Source organism: Homo sapiens, chromosome 6 (genome assembly GCF_000001405.40).
Source record: "Homo sapiens chromosome 6, GRCh38.p14 Primary Assembly".
Taxonomy (NCBI): Eukaryota; Metazoa; Chordata; class Mammalia; order Primates; family Hominidae; genus Homo; species Homo sapiens.
The window spans coordinates 83,606,830-83,623,711 of NC_000006.12; the positions used below are offsets into that span (position 1 = coordinate 83,606,830).

Consider the following 16,882-nt stretch of genomic DNA (forward strand, 5'->3'; position numbering starts at 1 on the left):
GGAAAGGAATACATATTTATTATTAATATCTTAAAGCTTTTGTAAGAAGCAATTTAATTAGAACAGTAATAGAAAGGAGTTGGTTATGCCAAATTTGCTATTATAAAATGCAGAACTAAGCAAGTAGAGAGTAAAGCACACAGTTAACATGGGTACAATACTTGGATTTCTTGCTCAGTTCAAAGTTCAAGTCTCCAAACATAGGGCATTCATAATCAGAGTCAAAGATACTACAAAATGATATTAGAATCCTCTTAAGGCAAATGAACTAAGGAATTGACCTAAATTTATTATTTGAGGACACACCTATGAGCTGGGGATTGATTTTAGGAGGCTAGAGATTTCAAAGAACGCACAGTCATCCCCAGATTTCTCACTACTGTTCTGATCTGTAGGTTCTATAAAAACTGATTAGGAATACCCCAAAGGCCTCCTCCTACCACCAGAGTGTGAGTTCCTCATACGCACTAGCTAATTGGTCAAACAATTCCAAGTTGGGTTGTGTGTGTGTGTGTGTGTGTGTGTGTGTGTGTGTGTTTTAAAGCATTTTAAAATACCTTTTGAATCTCCCACAAGAAGAAACTAATTTTAGAAAACACTTTCCATATCAGCCAATTTCAGAATAAATTGTGTGTATCATTCTTCCATTTCCTTTCTCAGTTTGTGACAACAAGGTGATTTCTATAGCTTAGGTCTTTCTAATGATTTAAGAGGCACAGGAGTAAAACAATGTACTTTGTGTAGTAAAAACTTCAACATTACTAGGATTAGATTTCCTTTGGTGAAATCATTTGGGTACAGCACATAAAAATAAAACCAAACTCTAATAAAATATTAATAAACAGTTAACTGCATATTTATTTACCAACCTGACTGGGACAGCCGCAGATGCAGTTGCAAATAAATCAACCGGTGGGGATGTGTCAATAGTTTTAGCTGGTGTAGAATTAGGAGACGTAACAGTTGTGGCTGGAGAAGACTGAAAGTGAAGATGCACAACACACTTGAGTCAAATATGAATCTACAGGACACAGGGCAGCAGGACTTTTCTTTGTATAACCATGACATGCCCAGCAATTTTTTTTTTGTAATTCTTTGTGGAGGAAAAAAAAACTCAATAAAATTTGAAATCAAGGATTGTAATAAATAATCAATATTGGCTAAAACATGTTACAAATTTTAAATGTAATTTATATAAAATGATAAAATATTTGGCTTAACATTGCAATGACTTCCATTCATTAATTAAAATAAAAGCTAAATGTATTTCCTGAACATAAAATTATTAGGAAAGATCTTACTAGCTGCAAAAAATTTCAAAAATTATCAATTGTAATAATTGCTAAAAAAACCAATGTCATTATTTTTTCTTGTCATCCTAAAAAGATTTCATGTGAGGTCCTCTCAGATGACCTTCAAATCCAGAAATCTAACTTGCAAAATAGTTCACAGTTGGAAGAGAACGATTCACAAGCAAGATTCAAGTCACTGATGTTTTGAAGATATCATGACTATAGCCCATCACTAAGATGACATAGATAAAACTAAAAAGGTAAAAATAAAATCTAGTATTTATTTTTCAAGAAGAGGTATTAATAGTCAATTAATATATTACAAGATTTTTATTTAGTTACTGTAACTAAACAATTTTGTCTGGTATATTTAATTCTCCATTCATTCACAAGAGAAAGATTAATGGAACATTTCAAAACAATGTATTGATACTTAGTTCTGTTAGTGGAGATGAGACATAACAGCAGGAAGATTCATGAAGACCAAGACCAAGCCAGGGCTATCAGATACTCCCCTAACTGGGCATCTGACTTCAAAGAGACCAAACATAAAGGAAGTTTTAAAAAGAATAATTTGAGGAAAAAAAAAACTGAGGAGATCAGAAATTTACAGAAATTTACAGACTTAAATATTATGTTTGTCCAAGAATATACTAATCCAAAAGTCAAAATTCAATAGTTATGCAAGTGCCAAGCATTTAGCACTTCAAGAAAGGTGGACACATGAGCAGTGTGGATGTTGTTAATCAGAAAATATCAACTCAGAACTCTCTCTTCAACAAAAATTCAAATCTTCCAAATGGAATACAAAACATGATCAATGGAAGAGAAAGGACTAGTTAAAGCTAATTGTATGTCATCCATTGGGAACACTGAGAAATCCTCTAAGAAAAGGTTTTTAAAAGCCAATGCATGTAAATAAGTTTAGAAAAAATGATATTGATGAAACACTGAGAACTTATTGACAGCAATAAATATTATCAACATAAATGCAAAAAATGAAACTCTACAGAAGCCCATTAAAAAATGCCTTGTAACAACAAGCTCTGAGGAGATGTAAGAGCTAGGAAAACAGAACCCAAATAATCTGTTATTACAAAAAGAAAAAGTCAGTAAAATTCAATTTGGCCGAAAAAGAAAAAAAAAAATTCAATTTGGCCAAAATGTAGAAACAGACCAACCCAAAGGATGCCACAATTTTACGACACTCTACTCAGCAGTCATATATTGGAGTTTTTCACATAGACATAATGGTTTTAAACCTGGCCTTATATCAGAATAAATGGAGCTTTTCACTTGTTTGTTTTATCTGACTGATTGTTCAAGGTCCCTGAGGGGATCTTAGGCAGCCAGCCAACCCATCACTGGCATAGTACATGGTGTCTGGAAATCACCAGTGCAGCCATAATGATATCCTTGAATATCTGTAATGACAGCAATTATATAATGGAAATTTGTCAAAGAGGAAAAAACACATCTATTACATTTTTGTCTGAAGAATACAATGGTAAATGTGAACTACAGACCTATAGAAGTAAATACTCTTGTCACTAATAACCCTAATCCTGTCCTTTCACATGGTAAAAAAGAGACAAGGAGGTAAACGAGTTATTAAAGTTATTATAGTCAACTGTCTAAAAGGCATATTTGTGGAAAGACACCCAATTACAATGGATTTCTCTACCTTTGAAACATGCACAATATCACATTACCTACCTCATACGACTCTGATTTAGAATATGTAAAAATGTTTTACAACTATTAAAACATTCTACTGATAACATTTGTTTTCTGTTGCAATATAAATACGTGAAAATCTCTCCAACTTTAAAAATATTTAGTCCAAACAAAGGACTAAATTACATATACTATACTACATTGGACTTAGAAACAAATACAAAGGAGGATACATAAAAACATAACTTACCTTTCCTCAAACAATTTAAATTAGAATTACCATATGACCCAGCAATTCCACTTCTGGGTATATACCCCCAAAGAATCAAAACCAGGGACTTAAATAGATATTTGTACACCCATGTTCACAGAAGCATTATTCATAAACCCAAATGATACAAGCAACCAAATATCTACTGATGGATGAATGCATGAATAAAGTGTGGTATATACATATAATGGAATATAATTCGGCCTTCAAAAGGGAGGAAATTCAGGCACATGGTACAACATGGCTGAACCTTGAAGATATGCTAAGTGAAATAAACCAGTCACTAAAAGACAGATTCTATATGCGCTCACATATATGAGGTTCCTAGGGTAATCAAATTCATAGAGACAGAAAGTAGAATGGTGGTTGCCAGGGGATCGGGGAGAGAGGGAGGTGGGGAGTTATTGTTTAATGGTATAGTTACAGTTTTGAAAGATAAAAAAAAAAGTTCCGGAAATGGATAGAGAGGATGGTTGTACAACAATGTTAAGGTATATAATGCCACTGAACTGTACACTTTATGATGGTAAAATGGTAAAAAACAAAAAACAAAAACCCCCAAACAAAAAACCAAACTTACCTTACTTAATGGAGAGGGAGCACCAGATCTAAAAGGCAACATAAAAAAAAATTAAAACTGAATATATATATATATATATATATATATATATATATATAAATATATATGTGAATATATTTGTAGAAGCATTTAAGTTGGATTTCACTTGGTCAAGCACTAACTTGTTTTATATACAGACTTTTAAAATAATGGACAGGCTATTTTTAAAAAACTTTTAATCTTTTACTTAATAATGACACCCCCTTCCACTGTTTTCCATCTACTTAATTTCCAGTACTAGAAATACTTAAATTCAACATTATTTTCCATATCTCTCGCAACTCAAATTCTTTGAGTCAAACATTATTGCCTATGTCCATAAAAAACAAACTGTCTAAATGGGAATTTAAAACCATTTTCAGAAGGCTTGGAAAAAACCATGCTTTGCAGAATTATGACAAACCCCAACACCCAGTGGTTTAAATCACTTAGGTTAAAGTACACTGTGAAGATCCCTACAGGCCCTGTGCTGAAATATGTCTCGGCTTCCATATTCATACTCTTGAAGTCTGTTTTCCCCCCCCATGGCTGTAATAAAAACTCTAGCAAGAATATTCTAGGAAAAATATTCCCATCATCCTGTTATAATTAGTGGGAGCTAGGAAAAAAACAGCAACTTCGATGCTTTTTTCTAAGAAAATGAGGGAAAATTAGGAAGGCGTGAATTTTAAGTTATATTACTGGTAGCATTGACTATTGCAGATCACTTCTAGGAAAGTGCTTCAGAAATAACTGCCAGAACAGCTCACATTTTACTAACTTCAGTTAGTGAAAAATGAATAACAAAACAAGATGAAGACTAAATACATTTCAATAAGCAGCCTATATTCACCGCCTTACTGCATGGCAGGGATGACTTTTTACTCATCTACAGAGAAAATATCACACACATAGCAGCAGCAAAACAAAATTACAGCAGAAATTTAGTAAGTAGAATTTTGTACAATATTATGAATTTTTGTCTTATTGGATATAGCAAATTTAACAGTATTATATGCCAAGTTAATATCTTTCTTTTTTTTTTTTGAGACGGAGTCTCACTCTGTCACCCAGGCTGGAGTGCAGTGGCGCAATCTCAGCTCACTGCAAGCTCCGCCTCCCGGGTTCACGCCATTCTCCTGCCTCAGTCTCCCAAGTAGCTGGGACTACAGGCGCCTGCCACCACGCCCGGCTAATTTTTTTTTTTTTTTTTTTTTTTTTTTTTTTGGATTTTTAGTAGAGACGGGGTTTCACTGTCTTAGCCAGGATGGTCTCGATCTCCTGACCTCATGATCCGCCTGCCTCGGCCTCCCAAAGTGCTGGAATTACAGGCATGAGCCACCGCGCCAGGCCCAAGTTAATATCTTTTAAGTTCAACTTCATTTGCAAATACATGCCTGCCATTTCCTGTTTGAATTTAATTTCTACTTAAAATGAATATAAACAACAGGTAGCAAGGGCACAGAGATTTCTGCTATATAACAAGCATAAGGGTAACAACTTGGTTACATGTAGTTTGGCTAAATGTTATCTTAAGAGTAATATAGTCTATGAGGGAAAGGATATACCTTTATCTATACTGTCCGTGTCAAAGGGTCTACTGAAATATCTACAGTAAATTCCTTAAGAACCTAAAAATCTAGTACAGCATACGGTGGGAAATGTCCTAGTGAGTTTTGGCTAATAATTTCTCCACTTCCACTATTTTTTCCCTTTACGTATGGAAAAGGAAGGGAGTTAAATCTAAATAAAAATTCAAGAAAATAGTAGCATGAATTCTACAAAGAAAACATAGAAGCCTTTGGTATGGTCACTTTCTAAGAATGAATTAATTTAAATTAATTTGTTTCTCTCTCAAGCAATTTTCATAAACCAATTCTTAGTGGTATTGATACAATTATAAATACTAATAAAGAAAAGAGAAGAGGCCAGGTGCGGTGGCTCACGCCTGTAATCCCAGCACTTTGGGAGGTAAAGGCAGGCAGATCACTTGAGGTCAGGAGTTCGACACCAGCCTGGCCAATATGGCGAAACCCTGTCTCTACTAAAAATACAAAAAAATAAAAAATAAAAATTAGCTGGGTGTGGTGGCACGCGCCTGTAATCCCAGCTACTCAGGAGGCTGAGGCAGGAGAATCGCTTGAACCTGGTGGGTGGAGGTTGCAGCGAGCCGAGATCGCACCACCGCACTCCCTCCAGTCTAGGAGACAGAGCGAGACTCAGTCTCAAAAAAAAAAAAAAAAAATATCAACAGCTTTAGAAATACATTTCCAAACTAATACCTAAAATATTATAACTTCTTCTATAACATCTTCTACCCCACAGCAAGAATGAAGATATAATAAAAATGATAGAATTGTTCTACCTGCTATAAAAAAGAGTATCATACTTAAGTATGAAAAATCATAATTGGTACAAGAATCATTTTGCCAAGCTTCCACATAAACAATATTAGTAAATGATACTTGCAGTTATCCCATGAATTATGCAAACAAACAAAACCCTCCTACTGTCTCTGTTGAGATATCCCACTTACCACATTACATCTTAGTTGCCTGTTTAATTCTCTATCTTCTTCACTAGATACTAAGTTTTTTGAAAGGAAGGAACTCATCCCATTGTTTTATATCCCTAGCACTTTACATATCATCTGACATTTTCTGTATTATTTGAATTTTTATATTAGAATATGTTCAGGTATTCATTCTATAATCAATAAATTAACCAGACGTCTTTAAAAAGTTATTTTCTGTGAAACAAAACTGTCAGGATGCGTGACCTCTGTTTTCTAACCAGAGTTGGCTTCTGCCATGATTTAATTAAAAGGTTGAGAACCAGAGGTGCTCCAATGGGGCCATAGCTTTCAAAAGCACCATTAATCACTGATTAAACTCTGAAGGTTCCCAGGCTCGGAGAGGTTAATAACTTTCCCATGTCTCATCATGCTTTAACGGTGGATTCCAGACTCTAGTCCAAGTCTATATGCCCCTCAGAGCCTATGCTCAGTCCACATTCCAACCCCCAAAACACAGATAAACTTGGCACATTTGCTTCTCTCTTACACAACATATAAATTGCTCTTCTTATGTGTTTCTCACTTGATTTTCCACCCTAATGTTAGTCATTGCCCTTTAGGAAAGAAGATACTACATCATTTACATATAGACAATATTTGTTAAAAAGACCAATACTTCTATTAATAATTTCACCTAGAAAAATCTAGTAGATAATGAACCATGTTGGAAAAACAAGGCATTAAGGTAATTTTAGAAGAAAATGAATGACCCATATAAGTAATCTACTCTAAATTCTGTAAAATTACTACAAACTCATGGGTTTCACTATGAACACAGCAAATGTCCATATTTCTTTCCAAGATGTTAACAGGAAGCTGTCAAATAGAATATTTTGTTAAGTTTTATATGAGTCATAACAATAATCCCTACATAATTTTGAGTATAAGTGCTAGCCAGAAAAAAATACAGATGTGAAAGATCTATCTACATCCTTCAAATAACTTGAATTACAAAAGATTTATCTTAAATTTCCTGTAACCTCAACACTTAGTAAACCCACATAAATAATAAAATAAATTTCTCTCTTTTGTCCTGTGGAATTATAGAAACAGACAATATATAAAGGTATATCACAGAGTATTGCATAAAATTACAGAAATAAACAGCAGTGGACACAAGGTACTAAATATAAAGGGCATACATATTCTTCATAGCAGACATTTGCAAATGCTTCAATTTATGTATATACTTGGTTTGGAGGTTAGAATAGTTTTATACTGTGACCAGAAGACAAATAAAACAATTTTAAGTAATTAATTTTCTTTATAAATTTGTCTTTTCGCATTTATGCTATAAGCCATGGGGAAGTCTTTTGTTTACTAAACAAATAAAAAATATTTCATTTCTAAAATCTGAGGAATATATTAATATAAATACATATATACATCTAAGAGAGACTGTTAGTCTATATCCAAGAAGACCGAAAGAAAGTAAAACCATTTATGCTAGTCAACTTGGGAGACAAAAATAAAGCATAATGAAAAAACACAGATGTGTAAAAGGGACAGAAATCAGTTTTAAATCTTCTAAATACCAAATGTGGAATCTTAAGAGTGTTTTTTGCATTTTTAGTAATTACCAAATGCAAAAAACTCACTCCATACAGTACTCACCCTTCACTTAAGTTCCAAGGTAAGCACAAACATACAAAGAAGAGAATAGTTAACTATTATAGTTCATTTATTTTAAAAAATAGGGAATAAGCAAAAGACAAGTTCAAATGTGGTTTTAGCCAATTCAGAAGAGAAATATGACAAGCATAAAATGATTTTAAAGGAAAAAGAAAAATTATTCTAAGAAAAAAGTAATTTGAAATGGAGGACTATTGAATTTTAAATTTCACTTCTCTAGAAATGTAACTAAATGTCCATAGCTATTTTTTTTTCCAAAAATAGCTTGTGGTGACCACAAGGGGGCGAATTTAGATTTGAAGTCAGGGCTAATGAGACCCATTCTAGCTACCCAAGGAGGCTTCTCTGTGACTGCAGCACTGATAGATTTAACAAAAAACAAGGGAAGGGTGTGGCCCTATATGGGGTTTGGGGGACCCTGAGTGGAAGAGTGCAGAGAAGCTGACTTACAGTGTGCATCCAGCACTGCACAAGACAGAGATTTTAACTTTAGCGGATGTACATATTTCCTTAGCTAAAGAGGTCCTTCTGTCACAGGAACAGAAACATTTCTCAGCTTCCTGTCTCCATTTGCTTAAATCCTAGGCAACTCATTTGGCTTCCCAGATACCCTAATAGAGGGTGGGCCTAGAAATAACTGAACTAGGGCATCTCTTATTGTGATCTAATGTACTCTCATGTCAAGTCTGATCATCCCCGGCCACGCTGAGATTGGAGGCAGAGCCTGGACTGTGGAAACAACCTTGAAAGAGCCCCTGAGAGCTCCTACTATCCATCATTCCAAATAGCTCTGCCATAATTGTCTGTAATACTCTTATACTGTTGCTTATCACTGCAAATTTAAAACACGCAATAATTTCTACACTAACTTGAAAAAATATTATAGAAATAACACAGCTAATGAAATAACCAGAAAAAAAAAGTAACATCAAGACACAAGCCTAGATTCTGGGAGAATGTCCAGAGGCAACAAAGTCAGAAAATAGTTGCATTTTGATAGCTCTGTCATAGGTAAAATCTGTGATCAGCCTACAGCCCTGAAATGATCATTTTACGGGTTGTCTCTACTAACTCCTGCTGTCAACCAAAATGGAATAAACAGAAAGCTGGTATCATCAACAGAGACAGATTCCAAGCTCTCCCTGTAGAGGACATACATTAAGTGTTTAAATGGACATAATGAAGTATAAAATAGTCCCTAACCTTTAGATTCAGAAAATCTACTTAAATCATACATGTAAAAAAAGAAATAGCCACAATACTGAGCAGTTCAAGATAAAGAAAGGCTTCATGAGAAGGTAGGACTAGAGATGGCCTTCCCAGGATGCATAAGATTTACAAAGCAGGACAAGGAGGATGGGCATCCTAAGACTTGCAGAATTATAGTCTGAAAAAGGCACAAAGATTGGAAAACACCAGGCCTTGTGAATAGACAAGTTTCAGACCTGCTGGAGAGATGGAAAAAGAAAAAAAAAGGAACCTGGACATTTCGTGCATGTAGTGAGGAAAAATAGTCAAAAATATAAGTACTCAAACACAGAGGTATGAAAATCTAGTAAAACTGTACTTATCATTGCTTGATTGCTATTCTCTATATAAAAGGATCTATGAATAAAATGTCAGTAGTATGCCATGCCTAATAGTTCAAGTAGGGAGATACTGGAGTCCAAAAAACTATACTTGAGGGCTTTTCTTTTTTCACAGTGGGGTTGATAACGATAATAGAGTGCTCAAGGCTGCTTGTGAAATTGTGCTTGTTTTCACTCATGTCCAATGATAACAGCTTTGATTTTTAAACAGGAGTAACTATTTTTCCATATATTGTGAATTCCTTCTAAAGGCAAATGTTCAAATCATTAGGTTCAGTTAATGTAGGTACAATCTACTAATTTGCTGCATTAGCCTGCAGAGAGATTGTCTATACCCACTGTCATAAGTTAATAGGAAGAGTAGGGGTTCTGAGGGAGCCCAGAAAATTATAACAAAGCATACCCTAAAACTAGAGCAATATAAGTTGTACCATGATAAATCTCATTCTTAGAAGAACGACTGTAGTATTTTTCATCTTATTTAGAATATACAACTAATGCGTACTTGTTTCCAGGTTTCTTTCCTTCTAATGTATTTAGATGCTGTTCAAGCGTCTCCATAAGACTGCTGGGAGCCTACAATAAGAAAGTAAAAATAAATGTCTGCATTGTTTACTTTCAATGTAAACACACTGTAATGTCACTGTAACTGTATGGTGGAAGTCTGTGGATGGACCCCGATATATATGTGAGATAATTTAATTGCAGGTTCTTTTAGTATTTAAATATTTAAATTCCATAGACTTTCAGACAGACCCATCTTAAATAGACTTAACTCCACTGCATAACAAATAGCATTACAGTGTGGTTTCAGTGTAGAGATTACATTGGATAGACTTTTACTAATACATTACTTATATGCAGTAAACTCAAATCAAGTTCACCACCTCCTTCTCATAAGACCATAGTAAAAATGAATAAGTGTTTGTATTCAAGTCAAAAATATGAGTGCCCAAATACAAATTTACAGAAATTTGAAAATACAGTAAAATCTCACTTATCTATGTTTGTCTGAAATATTAGGAAAAACCATTTAAATATATTTTAAAAAGGTGGTGAGTGAGAGTTGTGGGGAAAAGAATATAATTCTAATAATCAATAACAATTAAGATTTTATTATTGACCTATTTATATATAAAAATATATTTATATGTATAATAAAGTAACTTTTAGCAAATATAATATCAGAGCACTGTGTATTGGCAAATTTAATAAGTTTCAACTCTTATTAAGAAATACTTGAATGTTTCCTTTTATAAATAATATTTTAGGCAATATAAAGTGATGACATTTCACTGTATACTTAAGGAGAAATAATAGGTTCACGCAAATTTTTCACCCAATCTATTCCTTAAGCATTAGAGATTTCATTTCATCTTTCTCAAATAGTTGTAATACAAATTAGACCTTAACAGCAGCATAGGCATTCAAAGAATAGCATTTCTTAAATGAAATATATAACTACCCTTATAGGTATATTTAATTCTGACAATTCTTCTTTAAATTAATGTGAAATTAATTTTGAAGGACATTGAAGTAACTATGGTAACTGATAAAGGAACTCACAGAATTCACAGACATTCATATAACTGTATCTTTTACACTGTACCTTTAATGACAGAATGAAATTCTTACTAAAAATCTTTAATTTTGAAAATTCAGGACATTTATTTAATATTCATTTTTCATTTCACTAATAGACTCTTAAAACTGTCTTAACATTCATGTGATTATTATATTTGTAATTATGTGATTATTATAAGTGTAAATTACCAAGTGAACTAAAACATGTAAATTTAGATATATAAAAATTACTAAGTGAACCAAAATATTAATTTGATCAAAATGATGAAGGTAAGATAGAAAGGAACAGCCCTGTCGGCATTATTTTAAAAGCTTTGAACTATAGAGTTAAAAAAAAAAGATTATCGGCATCTAATAAGTTTAGAAAATTACAAAAATTAGGATTTTAAAATACAACTCAGATGAAAATGGACTTAATAAATTCTAATAAAACACAACTAAGACAATATTTCTAAGTTTAAAAAATGAATTTTAAGAGATACAGAAAATTTTGTTATAGATACCAGATTATAAACTATAAAGAAATGCTCATTGAATAAAGAATGTACATAGTAACATTAAAAATAAAAAAATAAATGGCTTCAAAATTTTTAGATGAATTCACATCTGATAACTTCAAAATTGTCATACTAATTGCCAGTGATGATGATAATGATGATGACGATGATGGAATTTAGGAGGTCTGGGCATATAAACTTTTCATATTTATATTTTTTCATTGGGATCGCAGTAAGGAAAAAAAATAAGCCATAGAACTTCTTTCCAGTTAGAAAACTTAAGATACTTTGAATGTTAATGTAATGTAAAGAAAGGGTGATTTTTTTGGCTAAACCTAAGTTTAAAACATGGTCTAAGAAAAATGCTATTTTTAGTCACAAAATAGCAACAAATACGGGATAACCAAAAATAGGTAATATTTTCTCCTATTAAGTTTCTTAGTTACCTAAAACAAAACAAAACAAAACAAAAAAACAAAACAAAAAACCCAGGAAGAGAGGTCCCCATTTTATTCGTTTTGTAAAGTTTCTTTCTAAGTGAGAAAATTGAAAAAATAAGTAGAAGTCACAAAAAAAAAATCACAATAGCTGAAAGAGAAATTTGATCAAGGAATACAAGACTATCAAACTGACTTTTGTCTTAAAGGGAAATAAAGTTTGGAGCATTCCATCCTAGAAGTTTGAAAGTGCTTCATCATTTATATTTCTTATAAAAACATGTAAAATCAAACAGAAATAAATTCCTCAAATGTCTTTGGAGGAAAAAAAGTACTTTGATAGTAATATCCAGGCGTGCAGGAATGTCTACCTTTTCTCAACTGCATCTATGGCAGTGAGGACATCCGGGCATGCAGTAGACAATAAATGAAAACCACCTCTTAAATTTCCAAGGAGCAAAAACTTTGAGAATGCCTCTGCTGTTGTAAAAGGAATTTAATATAACAAAATATAATGAGCAGGCTCTTTAGTTGCTTGTTTTTAAAAATGTCAAAGTCAATAGACCAATCAGATGGGAACACCAATCCAAAGAACAAGAGTCAGCCTGTGAAAGCTGATAACAGCAACATATGGTTACCGATTCATCAGTTGTATGGTCTTTAAAAGGAGACCCTTCTTTACCAGTAGTTTTCGTATCAACCAGAATTCCTGACATCAAAAACATAAGATTTTTTTCATAAATGAAGATATTTACATTTGGAATGTACACATGCCACAAACAGGAAATAATATTAAAAAATTCTTTTCTCGGAACAAATTCATAGCTGATTGTGAGCCCAGGCTCCAAAAGAAAGCATCCATCTACGATTTAGATGCTATAGCTTATAAAGCATCATTAAAACCAAATTTAAAAAAAGCAATCATAAGATCATTCAAATTCTTATCATTAGATCTAAGAAACAATTTGAAAGTGCTGAGGAGAAATATTTCAGTTCTGATATATTCAGTTCTTACCCAAAACAGTTATTTTTGAATGTCCTTAAAAATTTCATTGATATTGGTGAATAATTTAAATGTAATAATTATGATATTATGTGTACAAGTTAAAAAGGGTTACAGATGATTGCATTCATGTTTAATGTACAGTCTCTAACCTAAAAGATATCCATTAAATTCATAAAGATATCTATGAAATTCCTCCATTCCATTTTGCTGAAAGAGGAATTCTAATCATTTTTTAAGTTATGAGCATTCTATTCCTACTCCCAGTAGGAAGCCCTTCTGATCTCCATCTCTTCTTTAACACTCTCTTCTGACAGGTATTTTTGTTCATTACCTGGCTAGATTGAATGGCCATGGTGGCCGCAGACAAGCCTGGTAGAAAGCAGAATCTAATCTTAGAAGAGTAGAACCGAATCCATATAACCTGGTACTTCGGACCCATCTGCAGATTAATCCTGGTTTTAAAGATGAAACAGCTCTCTAAAGGACTAACCCCAGAACAATTCACATGCTAGCCCAGACCTGATCATAACTGTCAGAGGTCTAAATCCTCAGGTCAATTAGAGACTTCCATTAGACCTGCCGAGGGGCTCTACACAGGAATGAAGAAGGGTGTTTAGCTCTATGTCACTCACAACCCCAAAAGAAACCACAGTATTAAGAAATTTCAGAAGCATATCATATTCTTGTATTGAACTAGAGGAATTTTTCTATGAACAGGTTTTTTTTTTTTCTGTTTGTTTTTGAGTCTGAGTCTCGCTCTGTCGCCCAGGCTGGAGTACAGTGGCGCGATCTCGGCTCACTGTAAGCTCCACCTCCCGGGTTCACGCCATTCTCCTGCCTCAGCCTCCCAAGTAGCCGGGACTACAGGCACCCACCACCGCGCCCGGCTAATTTTTTGTATTTTTTTTTAGTTGAGACGGGGTTTCACCGTGGTCTCGATCTCCTGAACTCATGATTCGCCTGCCTCAGCCTCCCAAAGTGCTGGGATTACAGGCGTGAGCCACCGCGCCCAGCCTGAACAGGTAATTTAAAAATAAATATTTTTCCCCATTTAAAAAATCTTTTAGGGTTGGGGATACTTGGCGCAGGTTTGTCATATAGGTAAATTGCATGTCACAGGGGTACCACCTTCTACCCTCCAGTAGGCCTCGGTGTTTGTTGTTCACTTCTGTGTGTCATATATACTCAATGTTTAGCTCCCACTTATAAGTGAGAACATGCAGTATTTGGTTTTCTGTTTCTGCATCAGTTTACTTGGGATATTGGCCTCAAGCTCCATCCATGTCTCTGCAAAGTACATGATCTTTTCTTTTTAATGGTTGTATAGTATCCCATGGTGTATATGTATCACATAAAAATAAATGTTAATATTGAAATTTATGTGGCGCTTAAGGTCATAACAAAAGAAGAGAATAGAGTGCTAATAGATTCTAATGAATTTCTACCATAGAATAGCTTTCTAACAGACCCAGGGCAAGATTTTACTTTCTTTGAGGGAGGAGTCTCTGTTCCCTAAATTATGAAAACACACATCTTAAATCATTCAGTAAAATATAATGTTTCTGGGCTTCTTGAGGGGGAGATTATAAATATTATAATGACTATAATAGTATCATTAAAAATTTAATCCAAGTATATGATTTCAATGATGTACTTTCAATGACATGCTCTCATTGTCTAATGTTAAAAGCAAAAACAGATTTAAGTAGTCATTTGAATATTTCCTTGTTTCCTTTCAGACTGCCCAAACTAAGTATGATAGATGAGGACCTATATTCTTAACTGAGAGCCTACTTTCTCTTTTATTCTACAGTAAGGGTGTCCATAGATGTGAAATAAAGATGATTTGCCACTTCTAGAAGCTATTCATTAGCTTCTAAATATCAGAGCTAAATATTTTAATGTCTTAAAAGTTAACATGTATTACTTATGTGGATTATTTTTTAAAATGTACTATAAATTTTACTAAAAATGATTAGTTTAAATGAAAACACACTTATTTTCTTTGCTTTTAATTATAGTGTTACAAAGATAAATCTATATCTAATAAAGAGATTTTTAGTGGCACTTTATGCACACTTAATTTTTTGGCCATATCCAAAATGATACCAATATCTTATTCAGGTATGTGCCTCGTCAAAAAACACTGTTTTCTCATAGTAGCAGAAATATTTTATACCAATATTCTGTCTATGAAAAAGAACTGCTTCTCAACTTTTCACTAAAAAATACAATGCCATCATGTTCTGGATTGCTCTGTGAATTTTATTCATAAAGAATTCTTGATATTTAATTGGCATTTTAATAATACAAATAACATTTCTTTGAGTTTCCCTAATTTTTAATAAAAACTTAAGGATTAATATTATTTTAAAGATGGAAACATTTCAAGGCATAATAAGGACAGCAAATTACTAAATGCACTTTGATATTATTAACAAGTAGGTATCTTTCATTATGACAATTTTTTCTATTATAATGACTATATTTACAAGGACAGAAAGTTCATATATTCATTACTGGTAAATAAGATAGCAGCTCTGTGTTTTCTCCTATCATCTCTACAATAACATCATTGCTAGTTAAATAACATGTTTGGGATATAACTGTACCATAACAGAGTGCTTAAGTAAAAACAGTTCCTGCCAATTATGAGAAAGGTTATACTATACCCATGAATGACCTTGAATCTATATATTAGGATCCATACACAGTACCCTCTTCACAGATAAAATGATTGATACAGAAGCCCCTCTATTGTTGTCATTTACTAGATGGGCTCCAGAAAAATTGCTCATCTACCACTACTATTTTATTAGCTTATTTTATACATGGACATTTCTCCATTTCATAGGGGAGACAAGTAGTTCAACTGTGACATCAGAGTTTTCCCTATTCATGGGTCTCCTTCATATCTGGGACATGTTGGAAACTAGGAAGACAAGCAGGAGGAAAAGTTCTAATATTCTGATTATCAGGCCTAGAAATAGTGACTTTTCATAGCCAAAGCATTTCTATTAACATTATTCAAGGTTTCCTTTTGATCAAGTTTAAAATGAAAAGATGAGTTCATTTACTAAATTCAGTTGCGTTTAAAGAAGAAACTATATCATAAGAACAAGAAAATCTTCCTATTACCTCCAGAAATATATTCAATGGCTAGAAACAATAAATAAGGTAGAATAATTTCCAAGAAAGTTGGTTGGCCTAAGTTCAAAATGCATGAAATGCTTACAAGACTATGCCCATTTGTGGCAATATATGTTGTAATAATCTCATGCATACTGAATCTTCCACTGGGAGAGTTGCTTACCTGTGTGAGGTCAGGAATGTCACCTTTATCAATACCAACTTGCTGTGGATTTAAAAAATTAGAAATTAGTAGAACTTTTAAAATTAATTTTTTTCATTTAATGGAAGATCACCTACACAATTAGTTTAAACAGCTCAATATTGGTGTAAATGAATTATTTTATGTATCACTCTCACTTGGAACATATGCTTTTTATGCAGTTTTTCACTCAATATAATAGAGCAGTAATTTCATTAATATAGTTAGACATAACAAATGTATAGAATTCTACTAGAATCCAAAAACAAATGACAACAAATTGAAGCATAAAATGTAATGGTATCCTTAGTTAACAGAAGCTCAAAATGTAAAACACTGCTTAGACTAAATTTAGTAGTTAATTATGCCCAGCTTCTGGATAGGGAATGCTCA

The 16,882-nt window shown here is 33.2% G+C and overlaps 1 protein-coding gene across 72 annotated transcripts in view; it reads right to left on the reverse strand.

The window, feature by feature from the left end:
• SNAP91 (synaptosome associated protein 91) overlaps positions 1-16,882 on the reverse strand; it is a 156,509-nt gene that overhangs the window by 53,945 nt on the left and 85,682 nt on the right. For 56 of the 72 annotated variants that reach the window (NR_164843.1, NR_164845.1, NR_164846.1 and 53 more), the window contains 4 exons: positions 16,472-16,513; positions 10,140-10,210; positions 3,821-3,848; positions 870-979 (listed from right to left, as the gene is read on the reverse strand). Coding sequence is in view for 68 of the 72 variants with exons in the window: in NM_001376702.1 (NP_001363631.1) it covers positions 870-979; positions 3,821-3,848; positions 10,140-10,210; positions 16,472-16,513 (251 nt within the window). In the remaining 4 variants the exon portion in view is untranslated. Of the gene's footprint in view, positions 1-869; positions 980-1,603; positions 2,717-3,820; positions 3,849-8,027; positions 8,034-10,139; positions 10,211-16,471; positions 16,514-16,882 lie in introns of those variants that run through there. The other 16 variants (NM_001242794.2, NM_001376695.1, NM_001376739.1 and 13 more) reach the window with 4 other exon arrangements.